Below are 20314 nucleotides of genomic sequence, written 5' to 3' on the forward strand. Positions count from 1 at the left end.
CAGATAAACGGATCAACTGCTAAATCCATACAATGGAATACTATTAAGCAATGAAAATAAACTAGACACTCAACAACGTGGATAAATCGTAACTATTCTTAATGAAAAAAGCTATACAAGGAGTATATACTATAGTAACTCCATTTATATAAAATCCTAGGAAATGTAAACTAATCTATAGAAACAGAAAGCAGATACAGAAAGCAGATCAGTCCGGACACTATGGCTCATGCCTGTAATCCCAACACTTTGGGAGGCCAAGACAGGTGGATCACCTGAGGTTGGGAGTTCAACACCAGCCTGGCCAACATAGGGAAACCTTGTCTCTACTAAAAATACAAAAATTGGGGCCAGGCACGGTGACTCATGCCTGTGATCCCAGCACTTTGGGAGGCTGAGGTGGGTGGATCACTTGAGGTCAGGAGTTTAAGACCAGCCTGGCCAACATGGTGAAACCCTGTCTCTACTAAAAATACAAAAATTAGCCAGGCATGGTGGCGCACGCCTATAATCCCAGCTACTTGGGAGGCTGAGGCGCGACAATCGCTTGAACCCGGGAGGCAGAGGTTGCAGTGAGCCGAGATCGCGCCACTGCACTCCAGCCTGGGTGACAGAGCAAGACTCTGTCTCGGTGGGGGGAAAAAAAAATTAGCTGGGCACGGTGGAACGTGTATGTGTAATCCCAGCTACTCAGGAAGCTGAGGCAAGACAATCGCTTTAACCTGGGAGGCAGAGGTTGCAGTAAGCAGAGACCACGCCACTGTACTCCAGCCTAGGCAACAGAGGGAGACTCTGTCTCAAAAAAACAACAAAAAAAAACAAAGCAAATCAGCGCTTGCTTGGGAAGGGGGAAGTGTTGTGGGGGGGGCAGCTAAAGGGAGGGACACATAGGAATACTAGGGAACTTTTGGGGGTGATAAAAATGCTTATGTTGATTTTGGTAACGGTTTCACAGGTATATACACATGTCAAGACATCAAATGGTATACTTTTTGTGCAGGCTATATGTAAATTCTATCTCAATAAATTTATTGGTGTAGGAAGAACAAACATGTCACCATACAAAAAATGTCTTCCTAGAAAAACCAGGAAACTGAAGATTAGTCCATGTGAGAAAAATCTGCTTTAATTCTGTTATCACAAACAGCTCCTAGAATGTTCTGTTGTGTACTTTTACAGAATTTCTGTGCAGTCTGTTTTTTCCAAACACAGGATACAATATGGAGAGTTTTCTATGAGTCAGTACGTCATGAACATTATTTGCCAATAAACACATCTGCAACATGGTTTTACAGGACAATGCAATGTAACATTCCCATATATGGATACACCGAAGTTTACGCGACCCATTTCTACTGTTGGATATTTAGGTTCCTTCTCAGTTTTCATCATTTTAATAAAGTCTCTGCATATCTTTAATGATTCTGCTAGAATAAATTCTTTGAGAGACATTACTGTACTGAGTGTACTGACAGACTGTGTAGAAGGGTCTTATAGCTTAAACTAGAGCCGGGCTATCTTTTTCGTTTAGTTCCAAGTTTTTATGATGAGTCGTCCTCTCATCTCAAAAAAAGTTCTTGCAACAAGTTCCTTGACTGCTTTTATATTACCTGGTCTCCATTTCACCCTTAAACAACGTTTCTAAAGGGGTAAACTTTAAACTAGGAAAGTTGGAAGATCAGACTTAACTTCAGTCTCAAACCGTATCCAAGCCTTTATTCCGATCACAGTCCACTATGAATTAAGAATTGCCAGAACTAGGCCGGGCGCAGTGGCTCATGCCTGTAATCCCAGCATTTTGGGAGGCCGAGGTGGGTGGATCACGAGGTTAGCAGTTCAAGACCAGCCTGGCCAAGATGGTGAAACCCCATCTCTACTAAAAATACAAAAACTAGCCAGGCATGGTGGCAGGCACCTGTAATCCCAGCTACTTGGGTGGCTAAGGCAGAGAATTGCTTGAACCCAGGAGGCAGAGGTTGCAGACTAGGCAACAGAGCAAGACTCCGTCTCAAAAAAAAACAGAACAAAAAAAAAAGAATTGCCAGAACTAATTTATACCGGAGGACTGGTCTCACATATGAAAGAAAGCATAATGAGATTTCCAGCACAGCTTTATGCTACCCACCACATCTAACTCAGTTATCCATGCCAGTGAAAGATAATCGGTACTTTTAATTCAGAAGCACACAGCCTAACAGTCTTCTTATATAGCTGTGACAAAGTAGACTATGACTTTACCCTGCTGATTAGGAAAAATCCAACCGATAAATCAGTTTCCTGATAATGACATTTCCCCTCAAAGCATAAAATTCTCAGAGCTAAGAATGAAACCAGCAGGCAAAAGCATGTCCCCAAAATCACTAACCCCACTTCTGAGTGACTGTGTGCTCACCTACTATCCTGCGCACCAGGGAAGGCCGGTCTGTATCCAACTCTTTCTTCAGACTTTCCACTGGTGAGCTCCGCCCTGAAGCTGGGTAGAGAGAGGCATGCCACTTCTCAGGGTCCCAGACACCATCACTACAGGTCAAAAAATACAACTGTTAGCACTTACGCCCATGAACCATATAGGCAGTGTGATTTCTAAACCTCCTCAGCTAATAGTTATGGAAACCCATTTCTCCTTTTTTGAGACAGGGTCTCGCTCTGTCGCCCAGGATGGAGCGCAGTGGCGTGATCTCAGCTCACTGCACCCTCTGCCTCCCAGGTTCAAGTGATTCTTCTGCCTCAGCCTCACCAGTAGCTGGGATTACAAGTGCCCACCACCACATCTTGCTAATTTTTGTATTTTTAGTAGAGATGGGGTTTCACCAGTTGGCCAGGCCAGGTCTCTAACTCCTAACCTCAAGTAATCTGCCTGCCTTGGCTTCCCAAAGTGCTGGGATTACAGATGTGAGCCACTACGCCCAGCCAGAAACCCATTTCTAAAATAAAGCTTCATGACTGCCTGCAGAATTGTTACCTCTTTTAATATGAAAACAAAAACATCTATTAATTCAGTAATGCTTTGTTGTTGATCACACAACACCAACAGTCACTTGAAAACTAATGGTCTGTACACAATTGAAACATTCAGACCATATACCTTGGCATGCACATGGATTACAATAACTACGCCTGTACTATACAAAGAAGATGTTCCATAAATATTAACTGTTGTTTACTGAAGACTAATACAAAGGAGAAAAAAGAGTCCCTTAACTCTCTCACCAGAAGTAGCACCTGGATCATTTGATGTGTATTTTTCCAGAATTTCTATGCACAGTCTTAGTTTTTCCACAAGCAGGGCAAACAGCTCTTACGACCTAAAATGTGTAGTTTAGGTTTTATTTTATTCTCTGTGTAATGATGGGGTGGTGGGTAGTACTGTGCACGAGCAGAAACTCTGGAGCCCAAAATCTGGGCTTTAATTCTAGTTTTGCCACCACTACTGGGAACATCCTGGACAAGTTACTGAGCTGCATCTTCTGCAGAAAGAACTTCCCAGCCCCCAGATTAGACCAGGCCATGCTATACACTAGCAACGTACTTCACACTTGTCCTTTGCAGCCTGTGATGTTTGCAATGATAAATTTTTACAAGTATTTGATTATATCCTTCCATAGACCAATGCCCCATGAAGCCACGGAATATTTTATAGAATCTGGCACAGTATTTATGACATAGCAGGTACCAATGAACATTTCTTGAATAAGTGAGTTAGCTTTTCAGTCTCAAACTCCTCACAATAAAATATATACTACCTACCTTCTAGGGTAGTGGTGAGGATTATCTAGCATTTAAGAGCCCAACAAATTTTAGTTCTCAGAGAGGTGAAAGGAAATGAGAAGCTCTCTCCTCTTTCTTATTTTTACCACCAGGCACAATGTCTCTGCTTCAGAAATAAAAGCTGTTTGTCTGCCCAGGATAACTTTTTTATTTTTTTCAGACAGGGTCTCAGAGTTCTGTCACCCAGGCTGGAATGCAGTGGCATGATTATACCTCACTGCAGCCTGAAACTTCTGGACTCAGGTGATCCTCCCATCTCAGCCTCCTGAGTAGTTATGACTACAGGCAGGTGCCACCATGCCCAGATAATTTTTAAAAATATATTTTGTAGGCCAGACGCAGTGGCTCATGCCTGCTAATCCCAGCACTTTGGGAGGCTGAGGTGGGTGGATCACCTGAGGTCAGGAGTTCGAGACCAGCCTGGCCAACATGGTGAAACCCCGTCTCTACTAAAACTATAAAAATTAGCCAGGTGTGGTGGTGGGTGCCTGTAATCCCAACTACTCGGGAGGCTGAGGCAGGAGAATCGCTTGAACCCGGGAGGGGAAGGTTGTGGTGAGCCAAGATTGCGCCATTGCACTCCAGCCTAGGCAACAAGAGCGAAACTCCACCTCAAAAAAAAAAAAAAAAAAAAGAAAAATCCTAACTAATTGGCTATAGCCATTATTCAAGTATCAAGTATCACCTTCATCAGGGAATGTGGTATGAGGCATCCAGGTTTTTTTGTTGTTGTTGTTTTGTTTTTTTTGAGATGGAGTCTTGCTCTGTTGCCCAGGCTGCAGTGCAATGGCGCAGTCTAGGATCAACGCAACCTCCACCTCCCGGGTTCAAGCGATTCTCCTGCCTCAGCCTCCCGAGTAGCTGGGACTATAGGCATGTGCCACCACACCCAGCTAATTTTTGTATTTTTAGTAGACACAGGGTTTCGCCATGTTGGCCAGGCTGGTCTCAAACCCCTGACCTTGTGATCTGCCCGCCCTGGCCTCCCAAAGTGCTGGGATTACAGGTGTGAGCCACTGCACCTGGCCCATCATCTCTTAAATATCAAGGTAGATGGTTTATATTAGTATTAGCCTACATTTTTTTTAACATATAAAGCATCATATTAATGTTCAATTTCCTGGTTAAATAGGACTTTTTTTTTTTTTTTTTTTGAGATAGGATCTCTGTTGCTCAGGCTGGAGTGCAGTGACACAATCATAATTCACTGCATCCTCAAGCTCCTGGGCTCAAGCAAACCTCTCGCTTTGGCCTCCTGAGTACTTGGGACTATAGGCACTATAGTACCATAGGTACCATAAATACAAAAACATTAGCTGTGCGTGGTAGTGGGTGCCTGTAATCCCAGCTACTCGGGAGGCTGAGGCAGGAGAATCGCTTGAACCTGGGAGGTGGAGGTTGCAGTGAGCCCAGATCGCGCCAATGCACTCCAGCCTGGGCAAAAAGAGTGAAACTCTGTCTCGGACAAAAAAAAAAAAAGAAAAGAAATGACTAAGGTGGCCATAAGTAGTACAATATAGGATTATTGTAGGAGATTTTCAGACCATTTTTAGCTATAGTCTTCCCAAACCAAAGCCTTCTTCTTCTGAGGGAAACTAGGATGAAATAAAGCTAATCTGAACGGCTGAATAGTTTTTTGTGGGAATGCAAAAAAAAAGAACCAAGAGCGCCCCTGAGCAGCATACCTGAGGCAGGTACCCTCAAAGTACAGTGCAAAAAACCACTGGTAGAGGACAAGACCCTGGTGAGGACTCCTGGGTTCAAGTCTTTTTTTTTTTTTTTGAGACGGAATCTCGCACTGTCGCCCAGGCTGGAGTGCAGTAGTGCGATCTCAGCTCACTGCAGGCTCCGCCTCCCGAGTTCATGCCATTCTCCTGCCTCAGCCTCCCGAGTAGCTGGGACTACAGGCGCACGCCACCACGCCTGGCTAATTTTTTGTATTTTTAGTAGAGATGGGGTTTCACCATGTCAGCCAGGATGGTCTCGATCTCCTGACCTCGTGATCCGCCTGCCTTGGCCTCCCAAAGTGCTGGGATTACAGGCATAAGCCACCATGCCCTGTCGGGTTCAAGTCTTAATTCTGCTTTCTGACTATGTGACTCTGACCAGGTCATCTTTTAATTTTAGTTTCATTCCTAGGTAGTTGAAACCCATCTTATTACCTCTCGAAATCCCTCTTTCACTTATAATTCTACCAGAAAACTTCAAAACAATACAATTCTTAATTTACCAAGTTTGGTATAACAAAAAGTTATTGACTAGAAGTAGTTAAGGACTAGAATGACACACATACCTGTCATATTTTTCAGAAAGGCATGAAGGCCTCTGTTTGGAATGGGGGAGTTCTTTTATATCCAAGAGTTCTTCCTAAAAAGAGAAGTCAAATAGTCATTTTGAATTACATTTCTTAGGCCACACACTTTAAACTTCTGTTCTGAATAATTCTAAGTGTCCATCTTAAACACTTCACACAATTCTTATTTACATCTTGCCTTATTTCAGAAAGGACTGGAGTACATTGAGGTTCTCACAAGCTCAAGCAGAATAATCCAGTAACTTAAAAGTGATCAGTTTCTGGCTAAAACAATCTCTCATAATTGCTATTGAATAACATTTCGTAACACTGAAAGCTCATCAAGGCAAGGAAACTTTAGTGTTAGATAAAACCTCTGCCTAATCTTACCAATTTTCAATGCATTAGATGACAACTTACAAGGGGATTTTTTTTTTTTTTTTTACATGGAATCTCACTCTGTAGCCCAGGATGAAGTGCAGTGGCACAATCTTGGCCCACTACAACCTCCACCTCCTGGGTTCAAGCAATTCTCTTGCTTCAGTCTCCCAAGTGGCTGGAATTACAGGCACACGCCACCATGCCTGGCTAATTTTTGTATTTTTAGTAGAGACGGGGTTTTGCCATGTTGGCCGGGCTGGTCTCAAACCCCTGACCTCAGGCGATCTGCCCGCCTCGGCCTCCCAAAGTGCTGGGATTACAGGTGTGAGCAACCGGGCCGGGGGGCGATAGTTTTTTTTAAATGTAATGTTGCAAGACTGAAAAAACACAAAAAACATCCATATACTATGTACCTATTAACATTTCTCCCTATTTATCATTTACTTTTTTGCAGAATTTTAAAAAAATTGATACAGACATTTGTATACACTTATGGGGTATATGTGATATTTTGTTACATGTATAAACTGTGTAATGATCAAGTCAGGATATCTCGGGTGTCAATTACCTCAAGTATTTATCCTTCCTATGTTTTGGAGACATTTAAAGTCCTCCCTTCTAGCTGTTTTGAAATATACAATACACTTGTTAACCACAGCCACTCTGCTCTGCTATCAAACATTAGAATTTACTCCTTCAACTGCATGTTTGTATCCATATAACCAACCTCTTTGTATTCTGCCATCCCACCCACACACCTTTCCCAGACTCTGGTATCTATCATTCTATTCTCTATCTCCACGAAGCCAAGTTTTTTTGGCTTCCACATATGAGCGAGCTTTTTTTTTTTTTTTTTGACTAGAGAGTAAATTGCATAAGTCATGATGCCTTACTCCTAAATACTGCAGTGCCTATTTCCTAAGAATGAAGATATTCCTTTACAGCCTGTTATCCAGCTCCATGAGAGAATTTAGCCCTACAGAAAATGACCTGAGTGAACTATTTTCCCATTCTCTCAAGGATGTACTTAGCTGGTATGCACAGGAGAGAGGCTAATCCCTCACATATAACGGATGCCTCAGGGCATGAAGACTTCTGCAGACCCAAGTTGAGAAGAACTGCCAGTTTTTTTTATAACTACAACTATTGATAATACTTTTTTCTAATCTACCTTCCCAATTCCAGTTTTGTAAATTGACCCAGTAATGTCCTTTATATTGATCTTCCCCCTCCAAAACAGGATCCAGTCTAGAATCAGATATTTGATTGTTGTATCTCTTTGGTCTCCCTTAATCTAGAACATTTCTACAACTTTTGTCTCTTATGATAGTGACATTTCTAGAAAATATAGTCCCTTTCTGTAAAAGAACATTATTCATTTTGGGTTGGTCTGATGTTTTCTCATGATAGACTGAGCCTAAATATCCATGGGGCAGAATACTAACTGAAGAGGTGCTGTGTCCTTCACAGACCGTCACTTCTGGAGGCCATGATGTTCATCTGTCCTTTATCTATGGTGCTAATTTGGATCATTTGGTCAAGGTATTCTCTAGTTTCTCTACTATTTAGTTACTGCTTTCCCATTTGCATTTAGCATGCAATCTGTGGGGAGACACTTTAAAATCACCCAAATATCTTGGTCTTCAGTTTTCCACTAAAGTTAGCATCCATTAATGATTCTTGACCAAACCACTCTTCATTTTGCCACTCTAGCCCTCTCTCCACTCTCCATATTTACCAGCCAGCACTTGGCATCATACTGTAAAGGCAAGTCCTCCTTTCCCCTGTTTATATACCTATGTATTATTGGTATGGACTCACAGACTCCTAGTTTTTCCTCTTTTTTTTTTTTTGAGACAGTCTTGCTCTATCGCCCAGGCTGGAGTGCACTGGCGCAATCTTGGCTCACTGCAACCCCTGCCTTCTGGGTTGAAGCACTTCTTCCACCTCAGCCTCCCGAATAGCTGGGACTACAGGCATGCACCACCATGGCTGGCTAATTTTTTTTGTATTTTTAGTAGAGACGGAGTTTCACCACGTTGACCAGACTGCTCTGCAACTCCTGACCTCAAGTGATCTGCCTGTCTCAGCCTCCCAAAGTGCTGGGATTACAGGCGTGAGCCACCGTGCCCGGCTGACTCCTGGTTTTTCTGTTGGTCTATAACTCATTAATGTCCTCAATTATGTGGCGCTCAAACTGTCCCAGATTTTGCCAGTGGGTGCCTCTTCAAACTGGCCCATGTGTCTTTTTCAACATGCCATCTTTTTTTTTTTTTTTTCCTAAAGACTGTCATACGTTCTAGCTTATTTTGTATTCATCCTGTCCCAGCCCTGGAATCAGCTATTTCTGAGAAATCCTAGTTTCTTTAAGTGAGGAATTGCATAAAACACCAAGGTCTGGGAACTGGGTATCCTCATTTGCTTGAAGGCCCTTTCAGTAGAGTTAGGAAATATACACACTTACATATACACACATATATATACACACATGCACACTAACACACATATCTACCCATATATACAACAAACTACTGCCTCCTTTTGGTATACTTTGAAATATTTTTTATAATAAAGTTAAAAAGCAATTCCGAAACTTTCAGCACCAGTAAAATGCTGCAACTGCCTTGCAAAAAAGCACATACCACTATGCCATGACTTTGGCAACACTCCCATCCCAGGCCTTGTAGTAGGAGAATGTGCACTGCTTCTCAGATCACTGATTCAACATCTTGGGGTGAGGATGGAGGGACAGATTTGCTCAATCAGCCCACAAGAATCACTGGGTATAGCATACCATGAATTCTCTAGTGTTTACAGAAAACTGAAGCATCTAAATGTTTTCTTCAGGACAAGATGCCGCCTTAGGACTATATGATACTTCAGTTTTAAGACCAGGATATCAATCAGGCATTTGCATTTATTTAGGATTTATTTATCAATTACCTGTCTTATAACTGGATAGAAATACGAATAAAAATTTGTAAGACTGAGATAAACACAGTTCCAAATACAAAGACATACCTAAAGGCTGTTCAAAATTCTGAAAAAAAACTGTCAAAGAACATACAACCTATAAATCACCAGTAAAGATAGGAGTCAGCCAGGTCCAGTGGCTCACATCTGTACTCCCAGAACTTTGGGAGGCTGAAGCGGGAAGACTGCTTGAGTCCAGGAGTTCAAGATCAGCCTGGGCAATATAAGGAGACACCTGTCTCTACAAAAAATATTTTAAAATTCATCGAGTGGGCCGGGCACAGTGGCTCACGCCTGTAATCCCAGCACTATAGGAGGCTGAGGCAGGCAGATCACTTGAGGCCAGGAGTTTGAGACCAGCCTGGCCAACATGGTGAAACCCTGTCTCTACTAAAAATATAAAACTTAGCCAGGTGTGGTAGCGGACGCCTGTAATCCCAGCTACCTGTAGGGAGGCTGAGGTTGCAGTGATCTGAGTTCGCGCCACTGCACTCCAGCCTGGGTGACAGAGCGAGACTCCGTTTAAAAAAAAAAAAAAAAAAAATTCACCAAGTGTGGTCCCCGCTACTCAGGAGGCTGCGGTGGGAGGGTCACTTGAGGTCAAGGCTGCAGCGATCGCACCACTGCTCTCCATCCTGGGTGACAGAGACCCTGTCTCAAAAAAAGAAAAAAACAAAACACACCACGGGAGACTCCAGAGAAATCTTCAGGGCAAACATGGTGTCAGATCTGTAGGGTTAGCACAACTTTGGGGCTGGGGGGAGGGGTTCAGGGAGGATGGAGCAATAGTAATTATGAAAATATCAGATATTACTGTAACACAGAAATCCTAAGGACAAGAGGGCTTAAAATTTTTCTAGTAGAAACAGGAAGGACCTTGCAATATAGGAAATACTTATACATAATGCTACAGGAAAAACCACTGCAAAGCAATTTTTTACTCTTAAAAGTAACTAAAGATTATCACATATCCCCTTACTACCCCATGCAGATACTAAGAACCCTAATGTGCTATTCAATCAAAGACAATCTTTCACGCTTAAATGTGTAAATTCTTAATGTAGGGAAGTTTCTAAGTGGTGTTTTGTTTGAAACTTTTAACTCCAAAGGTAACAGGGATCCCAATAGGTGTTCTCAATTACCACTACAGCTGTTTGCTGAACTCTATAATGATTTTACCTATTTATTTAGGAGTCACCTGGGAAAGGTTAATACTTTAACACAACCACAAAACATCCAGAAAAGCCTAATTTTGGTCCTATTGACGAGGAATCAAAAAATACTTTAACAGAAGTAACAGTCTTAAAAAAAGGAAAATAGGAGGCTAAAGAGAGAGGACAACTAAACATAATATGGTATCCTGGATAGAATCCTTGAACAGAAAAAGGATATTAGTTTAAAAATAGGAAAATATGGGCTGGGCACGGTGGCTCACACATGTAATCACAGCACTTTGGGAGGCCAAGGCGGGTGGATCACTTAAGATCAGGAGTTCAAGACCAGCCTGGCACGCCTGTAATCCCAGCTACTTGGGAGACTCAGGCAGGAGAATTGCCTGAGCCTGGGAGGCAGAGGTTGCAGTGAGCTAAGATCACACCACTGCACTCCAGCCTGGACAACAGAGTAAGATTCTGTGTCAAACAAACAAAAAAATTAGCCAGGTGTGGGGGTGCACACCTGTAGCCCCAGCTACTTGGGAGGCTGAGGTATGAGAATTGCGAACCTGGGAGGCAGAGGTTGCAGTGAGCCAAGACTGCACCCTTTTTGAGGGAGACCCTGTCTCAAAAAAAAAAAAAAAAAAAGGCAGGGCATGGTGGCATGCCTATTGTCCAGGCGACTTGGTTGAGCCCAGGAGATCCAGGCCGCAATGAGCTGTAATTGTACCACCGCGCTCTAGCCCGAGTGACAGAAAACCTGTCTCAAAAAAAAAAGAGGCCGGACGTATTACTTGAGGTCAGGAGTTCAAGACCAGCATGGCCAACATAGCAAAACCCTGTCTCTACTAAAAATTAAAAAATTAGCTGGGTATGATGGCGCATGCCTGTAATCTCAGCCTCACTTGAGAGGCCGAAGCAGGAGAAATTGGTTGAATTCAGGAGGTGGAAGTTGCAGTAAGCTGAGATTCTCCAGCCTCGGCAACAGAACAAGACCTCTGTCTCCAAAAAAAAAAAAAAAAACAAAAAAAACAAAAAAAGAGAATTTGAAATTGAGAGGTTATTCAAAGTTAATGTTTTGTTCAATATAATCTTTCCTCTTAGAGTTATTGCTCTAATCACAGAGTGATAAACACCAACTACTCTCAGTTAAGAAGAGTTAACAAAATTCTCATTTTCACTTCCGTATTCCAGTTTTCGTTGTTGACTTTACATGCTTAGCATACATAGGTGTGATGCTTAAGTGAACAGATGTACAAACTTCACAGGCCTGTAAGAGCAGAAGGCAGAGTAGCAAGCTAGTTACACACTGACATTAACCACACCAGCAACATTATTTGTGCCAGGGCGCACTTTTGACCAAATACAATGGCTAAAACATAGCTCACCTGTCCATAGAGGATAAAGAGCCATTTTCTTCACTGAGAAATGGGCTTAGAAACAAGACAACTCTTGGGTTGTAAAAGTGGCAGGGAGTCACTGTAAACATCTAGGTAAACAGTATTTACTGTTCTTGAAAAGTAAGACTTCTTAAATCAGTTCCATGGTGTCAAGGAGTGTAAGACCTCCCATTTGAAACCATATGGAAAATGATGCATTTGTGCAATTTCTGCAGTGAATGTTCACACCTTCAAAAGATTTCCAATGAATGCCCAAGAGGTTAAAAATTATTGCTTCCAACTGAGCATGTTTCTCAAAATATGGCCCAAGGTCCACGTGGACATTTAGGGAAAAATGAGAGAAAACTTCCTCACTGTTTACAGCACTAAATGTGTTACCTTCCAGCATGATCCTAAGATGCTTAAGGTGGTATCCCAGCACAAGAAGATCCCCTACTTAAGTGGGGAAGAGAGAAACCATGAGCTAAGTCAATACAGTTTGGGCCAGGCATGCTGGCTGACACCTGTAATCTCAAAACATTGGGAGGCCGAGACCAGCTATCACTTGAGTCAGGAGTTCATGAGCAGCCTGGCCAACATGGTGAAACCACGTCTCTACTAAAAATAAAAAAACTAGCTGGGCCTGGTGGTGGACACCTGAAATCCCAGGTACTATTCAGGAGGCTGAGGCACAAGAACTGCCTGAACCCAGGAGACAGAGGTTGTAGTGAGCCGAGATCATGCCACAGCACTACAGCATGGGTGACAGAGCAAGACTCTGTCTCAAAAAAAAAAAAAAAAAAAATGCTGAGTGCAGTGGCTCACACCTGTAATCCCAGCACTTTGGGAGGCCAAGGCGGGCGGATCACGAGGTCACGAGATCGAGACCATCCTGGCTAACACAGTGAAACCCTGTCTCTACTGAAAATACAAAAAAATGGCCGGGCACAGTGGCTCAAGCCTGTAATCCCAGCACTTTGGGAGGCTGAGGCGGGCGGATCATGAGGTCAGGAGATCGAGACCATCCTGGCTAACATGGTGAAACCCCGTCTCTATCAAAAATACAAAAAAATTAGCCGGGCGTGGTGGCAGGTGCCTGTAGTCCCAGCTACTCGGGAGGCTGAGGCAGGAGAATAGCGTGAACCCGGGAGGCGGAGCTTGCAGTGAGCTGAGATCGCACCACTGCACCCCAGCCTGGGTGACACAGAGAGACTGTTTCAAAAAAAAAAAAAAAAAAAGTTTGCTCTCTTTACAACTGTCCACATAATATATCCTGTGTGCCCAGTTTAGTGCCACACATAGACAGATGACTCTTGTCCCCACCCCTACAGCTCTTCCAGTCTCTCGAAAGAAATTTTTTTTTTTTTTTGGAGATGGAATCTCACTCTGTCACCAAGGCGATCTCAGCTCACTGCAACCTCTGCCTCCAGCGTTCAAGCAATTCTGCTGCCTCAGCCTCCTGAGTAGGTGGGATTACAGGCTCATGCCGCCATGCCCGGCTAATGTTTTTCTTGTATTTTAGTAGAGATGCGGTTTCATCATGTTGGCCAGGCTGCCTGAGCTCAGGTAATCCGTTTGCCTCGGCCTCCCAAAGTGTTAGGATTACGGGTGTGAGCCACCATGCCTGGACAAGAGAAGAGTCTTTTTTTTTTTTAAATATGGAACACTTCATGAATTTGCGTGTCATCCTTGCGCAGGGGCCATGCTAATCTTCTCTGTATTGTTGCAATTTTAGTATATGTGCTGCCGAAGCAAGCATGAAAAGAGTTCTTAAACTTGCCATCTCATCAAGAGCCCTTAACATTATTCGTGGAAATACCCCTTTGGGATATTTTCAAAGAAAACGTTCAACTATGGCTAAAGACAGAATACTTGGGAAGTGGCCACTCTAACTAGGAGTGCTTCCTTCTTATGAGTATTTCAAGAAAGGATGTGATATTACCCTTTTGGAAAGGTGTTTTTTTTTTTTTTTTTTTAATCTATCCTTTTGGAGTTTTTTTTTTGAGACAGGTTCTCACTCTCAGGCTGGAGTGCAGTGGCATGATCATAGCTCACTGCAGCCTCAAAACTCATGGACTCAAGTGATCTTTCTTGCCTCAGCCTCCCAAGCAGCTAAGACTACAGGTGCATGCCACCACATCCAGCTAATTTAAAAAATTTTTTGTAGAGATGAGGTCTTGCTGTGTTGCCCAGGCTGGTCTGAACTCTTAGGCTCAAGTGATCATCTTGCCTCAGCCTCCTAAAGTGCTGGGATTACAAGTGTGAGCCACTGTGCCTAGCCTGGAAAGTCTTAACCCATAGGAACTTACTGATCACGAATGAATTCATTAAGATTACCATATGGCGAATATAAGAGTTAATACCTGAGACTTCACTTTTTGCACAGGTTACTAAAACCTGACTAGGCAAGAACAAGCTGCTAATTGCCCAAGAGCCACACACCCAAGGAAGCATAAACATATTTTCTTAGTTGCAGCAGCCTTCCTTAAAGAAAATGTGTCAAGGCTCCCAAAACCTATTGGGGAATTACTAGTATGAACACCCACTTTTGGTGATCACTATTAAAGTGGAAAGCAAATGAATCTCAACAAAAGCCCAAAAGAACAATGGTTAAAATCCTTATCCATTTCTTTCTGCAGAAATCCTATGCAGAAACAACTATGCATTCTGATGGACCTTCTGACATTATGTAGAATTTCACATAAGTCACATTTATGGAAGGGGGATTAAAAGGGAAATATTCCTGGGCGGGCGTGGTGGCTCACGCCTGTAATCCCAGCACTTTGGGAGGGTGAGACGGGCAGATCACCTGAGGTCAGAAGTTTGAGACCAGCCTAACATGGAGAAACCCCATCTATACTAAAAATACAAAAAATTAGCCGGGCATGGTGGCGTGCGCCTGTAGTCCCAGCTACTCGGGAGGCTAAGGCAGGAGAATCGCTTGAACCCGGGAGGCAGAGGTTGTGGTGAGCCAAGATCACGCCATTGCACTCCAGCCTGGGCAACAGGAACAAAACTCCCTCTGAAAACAAAACAAAACCGAACAGGCAGGGGCCGGGTGCAGTGGCTCACGTCTGTAACCCCAGCACTTTAGGAGACCAAGGTGGGCAGATCACTTGAGGTCAGGAGTTTGAGACCATCCTGGCCAACATGGCGAAATCGTCTCTACTAAAAAAAAGAAAATCAGCTGGGCATGGTGGCACACACCTGTAATCCCAACTACTCAGGAGGCTGAGGCAGGAGAATCACTTCAACCTGGGAGGTGGAGGTTGCAGTGAGCCAAGATCGTGCAAGACTCTGTCTCAACAATAACAAAAAAGGAACGGGTAGGAAAAAGCAGTCAGAAGCTATTCTCTATGGTCTTGCCAGCCAGCCTGCTCTAACAACTTCCAGTAAGATAGGTTTTCTGGACAGTTGACACATTAAGATTGAATAATTTTTTTTTCCTTTGAGACAGAGTCTCACTCTGTTGCCCATGCTGGAGTGCAATGGTGCAGTCATAGCTCACTGCAAGCTCAACTTCCCAAGCTCAAGTGATCCTCCCACGTTAGCCTCTTGAGTATCTGGGACCACAGGTGCACACCACCACCTCTGGCAATTTTTTTTTTTTTTAACGAGATGGGGTCTCACTATATTGCCCAGTCTGGTCGTGAACTCCTGGACTCAATTCATCCTCCCACCTTGTCCTCCCAATGACTTTTCATACCATAATTCTACCTTCTCCAACATAAATAGGTATCCTTAAATTAGTTTAAGAAGTTTATACCTAAATTTGTCACAGAAATGCCACCTGAGTTACTACTCAGTTTATAAAAGATACATTTAGTTATCAAATAAGATTTCTGTACTGGAAAAAGGGACCACCTGATTCCTGTTTCAACCTAGGATTTAAATCAGTTACTCTTTTCTCTGGGGATTGGCTTCAAGTCTTCTGATTATATCCAAGAAGGCTAGGATGACTCAAGTCAGTCACTTCAACTGCTTGTCCATTTTCCTGATTGTTTTAAAGGAAAGACAAACATGGCTGTACTGACTGCTATGACCAATTGGCCTACCAGCCACAAATTAGGATGGCCTCCCTTAAAGATCCCTGGAGACACTAATGACTACAATAATGCCACTTTGTAACTAGTCAAGGTTATGAGGAGTCCACATGGGGCCAGATGCAGTGGCTCACACCTGGAATTCCAGCACTTTAGGAGGCTGAGGCAGGAGGATCGCTTGAGGTCAGGAGTTGGAGACCAGCCTGGGCAACATAATGAGATCCTATCTCTACAAAGAAATGAAAAAATTAGCCATGTGTGGTGACACACACCTGTAGTCCTAGCTACTCAGGAGGCTGAGGTGGAAGGATCGCATGAATGCAGAGTTCGAGGCTGCAGTGAGTTAACTGTACCACTGCACTCCAGCCTGGATAACAGTGAGAGCCTGTCTCAAAAAAAAAAAAAAAAATTCCACATGAAGTTAAACTAAGATAATTCAACATTCACTTAACTTTAATACGCATGTTTAACACTGGTCAGTATCAAGCTGAATGTTCTGAGTGTCTCTGCTTTTATTCCCTGTCCAACTGGCAGGTGACAGTCATTTAATAAGGAATCAGTGGCAAAACACAGGAGCAAAGGAAGAACAGCATAACGTATGTATCCTTTATAAGATTAGTCTATTTGGCCGGGTGCGGTAGCTCACGCCTGTAATCCCAGCACTTTGGCAGGCCACGGCAGGTGGATCACTTGAGGTCAGGAGTTTGAGACCAACCTTACCAATATGGTGAAACCCCGTTTCTAATAAAAATACAAAAATTAGCTGGGCATCATGGCACGTGCCTGTAATCCCAGCTACTCAGGAGGCTGAGGCAGGAGAATTGCTTGAACCTGGGAAGCAGAGGTTGCAGTGAGCCAAGATTGCAACACTGCACTCCAGCCTGGGTGACAGAGTGAGACGCGGTCTCAAAAACAAACAAAAAAAAACAGATTAGTCTATTCACTTGACGAAAATAACATGGATGTGAGGCCAGGCGTGGTGGCTCACGCCTGTAATCAGAGCACTTTAGGAGGCCAAGGTGGGTGGATCATGAGATCAGGAGATCGAGACCATCCTGGCCAACATGGTGAAACCCCATCTCTACTAAAATGTAAAAAAAATTAGCTGGGCATGGAGGCACGCGCCTGTAGTCCCAGCTACTCAAGAGGCTGAGGTAGGGAAATTGCTTGAACCCGGGAGGCAGAGGTTGCAGTGAGCCGACATAGGGCCACTGCACTCCAGCCTGGCGACAGACAGAGACTCTGTCTCAAAACAAAAAAACAGAAAAGAAAACCACATGGATCTGAATAGTGGGATGGCCTAAAACATTTCTATTTTGTATTTCAAGCAGAAGATGGCATCACTAACAGAATAGCAGGTACTATATTCCAGAACTGGTGAACAAGGGCTTCTGGTGAAGAAAAAGTTGAATGAGCACCACTGCCAGGAGACGATCTTTTTTTTTTTTTTTTTTTTTTGAGACAGGGTCTCTTTTTGTTGCACAGGCTGTAGTGAAATGGCGCGATGATGGCTCACTGCAGCCTCAAACGATTCTCTCACCTCAGTCCCCTGTGTAGCTGAGACTACAGGCAATACGCCACCATACCTAGCTAATTTTTAAATTTTTTTTGTAGTGACAGGGTCTTGTCATCCTGCCCAGGCTGGTCTTGAACTCCTGGGCTCAAGCAATCCTCCCATCTCAGTCTCCCTAACTGCTGGGATTACAAGTGTGAGCCACCACACCCAGCGAGCAGGTGATCATTTCTTAAGCCAATGGTTCTCAAACTTGAACCAGAGCCAGAATCCCCTGAAGAGCTTGTTAAATGCAGACGGTTAAGCTCTACTCCCCAAGTTTCTCCTTTAATACCACTGAGAAGAGGCCTGAGATTTGTATTTCTAACAAGTTACCAGATGATGCTAATGCTAGTTCAGGGAGCACACTTTGAGAACCACTGTCTAAACCACTCTTAAACCATAACTTTCAGGTGAGACCCCACTCTATAACCTCCAAAAGTCCTTCAACATGATCCGATCACTTTAAAAATGCATACTTAGATACTACCAAAATATAGCTTTTGGTCTTAGGAATGTGGCCTAGAAAACAGACCAGCATTTATAACTTAGGGGTTCAAGACCCTCAGGGTAACAGGTGCATATGATAAACCCATTTATAACCATCCCACAATGAGATTTAGGAGTAGGTCTGAATGCACCCAATGTGACTCTAACTTGAGGTCCTAAAATATTCTTCGAAGCACAATGAACATCATCTGAACCCCAAAGAATAACTATGCATCTGAGTTACTTGACACCACCAACACCATTTATCAAGTTCTCTAAGGAAGACCAAAGCCTTGATACTTAAAGTATAGTCAGTGGACCAGCAGCATGTGCACCACTTGGGAGTGGGTTAAAAAGTAGAATCTTCAGGACCACCCCTGCTTACCACTCAGAATTCCTTTCCCAAGGCCTAAAGGTGATCCCCCAGGCATATTAACATTTGCGAAACAAGCTAACTAAAGGATGTCTTCACACAAAAGGAAACTCTGGTACATTACTCTGAAAAGCACCTGACCAAAACATTTATACTTCTTCTACTCATGGGGGAAAAACAAAAACTCTTCGAATTCTGAACAACAAACTACTAACATTATCCCAGAAAGCAACTGAACACTAAACTAAGAAGGGTCAATGGTTAAGGGGCCCTCTCATCTGGCCAACGTGTTTTTTTGACCCTGTAAGTAAACATACACAGCTACAAGTTTCCACAGAATACACCACCTATTTAAAAAAAAAAAAAAATCACCGGCCGGCTCACACCTGTAATCCCAGCAGTTTGGGAAGCCAAGGTGGGCGGATCACCTGAGGTCGGGAGTTTGACACCAGCCTGACCAACATGGAGAAACCCTGTCACTACTAAAAAGACAAAAATTAGCCGGGCGTGGTGGCGCATGCTTGTAATCCCAGCTACTCAGGAAGGTGAAGCAGGAGAATAGGTTGAACCTGGGGCGGAGGTTGCGGTGAGCGGAGATGGCGCCATTGCACTCCAGCCTGGGCAACAAGAGTGAAACTCCACCTCAAAATCACCAGTGAAAACAGTTTCCCTCTACTGCTTCTAGATCTTCTAGCCCGTGAACTTGAAGTGGCAGAAACATCATTAAAGTCTATTTATTCCAGTACTTTGATCTCAGTACATAGACAAGGAAGAAGGATGGTTTGAATATTATTCCAGTTGTGGAACTAACATATTTATTATAGTGCTAGGAACACATAATCATTTCAAGCTCTCTTTAAAGGGAGAAGACTTCTTTATCCCCAAGTCCCGCATAGAATTACTAGAGTGTTGAAAACCATGAAAGCACTACCCTAACACTGCCTAAACACTATCCTAAAATTGTCATTAACTAAATCCTCTTAAGAGTAGAAAGTAAACCTATTTCCAATTAATTTGGTAGAAAAGACTTAAATCTAAGCTCCACTGTCATTAAGCTAAAAAATGCTTTTAACCAGTTCTTCAAGGCACATTTATCTACGTATGACAGAATTCTGAGGCTGGACTGTCAAAAATGGACAATACTGAGGTTCTTAATCTTTACTGCAAAGAAACATAAGTCCTACCCTAAGAAAGAGAAATATCTCCCTAAAAATGATGTAAGCATAAAGATAGAAACATACACAAAGATGAAATATACATGTTAACCTCTGATCGGTGTGTGAAAGTGATTCAAAAGCCTCTCTGCCTGGACTCTACCAGTAGACTACTGGTTAGAACTTTAGTGAAAAAAATACTGGAAAGGGTGGGTGTGGTGGCTCACACCTATAATCCCAGCACTTTGGAAGGCTGAGGTGGGTGGATCACCTGAGGTCAGGAGTTCAAGACAGGACTGACCAACATACAAAATTAGCCAGGCATGGTGGTGCATGCCTGTAATCCCACCTACTCAGGAGGCTGAGGCAGGAGAATTGCTTGAACCCGGGAAGCGGAGGTTGCAGTGAGCCAAGATCGTGCCATTGCACTCCAGCCTGAGCAGCAGGAGTGAAACTCCATCTCAAAAAAATAAAAATAAAAGTACTGGAAGGGGCCAGGCTCGGTGGCTCACACCTATAATCCCAGCACTTTGGGAGGCCTAGGTGGGTGGATCACCTGAGCTCAGGAGTTCAACACCAGCAACACAGTGAAACCGTCTCTACTAAAAATACAAAAAAAAATAGGCCAGGTGCAGTGGCTCACACCTATAATTCCAGCATTTTGGGGGGCCGAGGCGGGTGGATCACCTGAGGTCAGGAGTTCGAGACCAGCGAGGTCAGGAGTTTGAGACCAGCCTGGCCAACATGGCAAAACC

General features: G+C 43.4%; 1 protein-coding gene and 1 pseudogene across 12 annotated transcripts in view; both read right to left on the minus strand.

Annotated features, from left to right (window-relative positions):
• Window positions 1-20314, minus strand: part of EIF4ENIF1 (eukaryotic translation initiation factor 4E nuclear import factor 1) — a 56606-nt gene that overhangs the window by 28820 nt on the left and 7472 nt on the right. For all 12 annotated transcript variants that reach the window (XR_007067979.1, XR_007067978.1, XR_007067977.1 and 9 more), the window contains exons 3-4: window positions 6062-6135; window positions 2393-2520 (exon numbers count right to left, since the gene is read on the minus strand). Coding sequence is in view for 8 of the 12 variants with exons in the window: in XM_011530280.3 (XP_011528582.2) it covers window positions 2393-2520; window positions 6062-6135 (202 nt within the window). In the remaining 4 variants the exon portion in view is untranslated. The remainder of the gene's footprint in view (window positions 1-2392; window positions 2521-6061; window positions 6136-20314) is intronic.
• On the minus strand, window positions 13603-13706 carry RNU6-28P (RNA, U6 small nuclear 28, pseudogene; annotated as a pseudogene).

Source organism: Homo sapiens, chromosome 22 (assembly GCF_000001405.40).
Source record: "Homo sapiens chromosome 22, GRCh38.p14 Primary Assembly".
Lineage (NCBI taxonomy): Eukaryota > Metazoa > Chordata > Mammalia > Primates > Hominidae > Homo > Homo sapiens.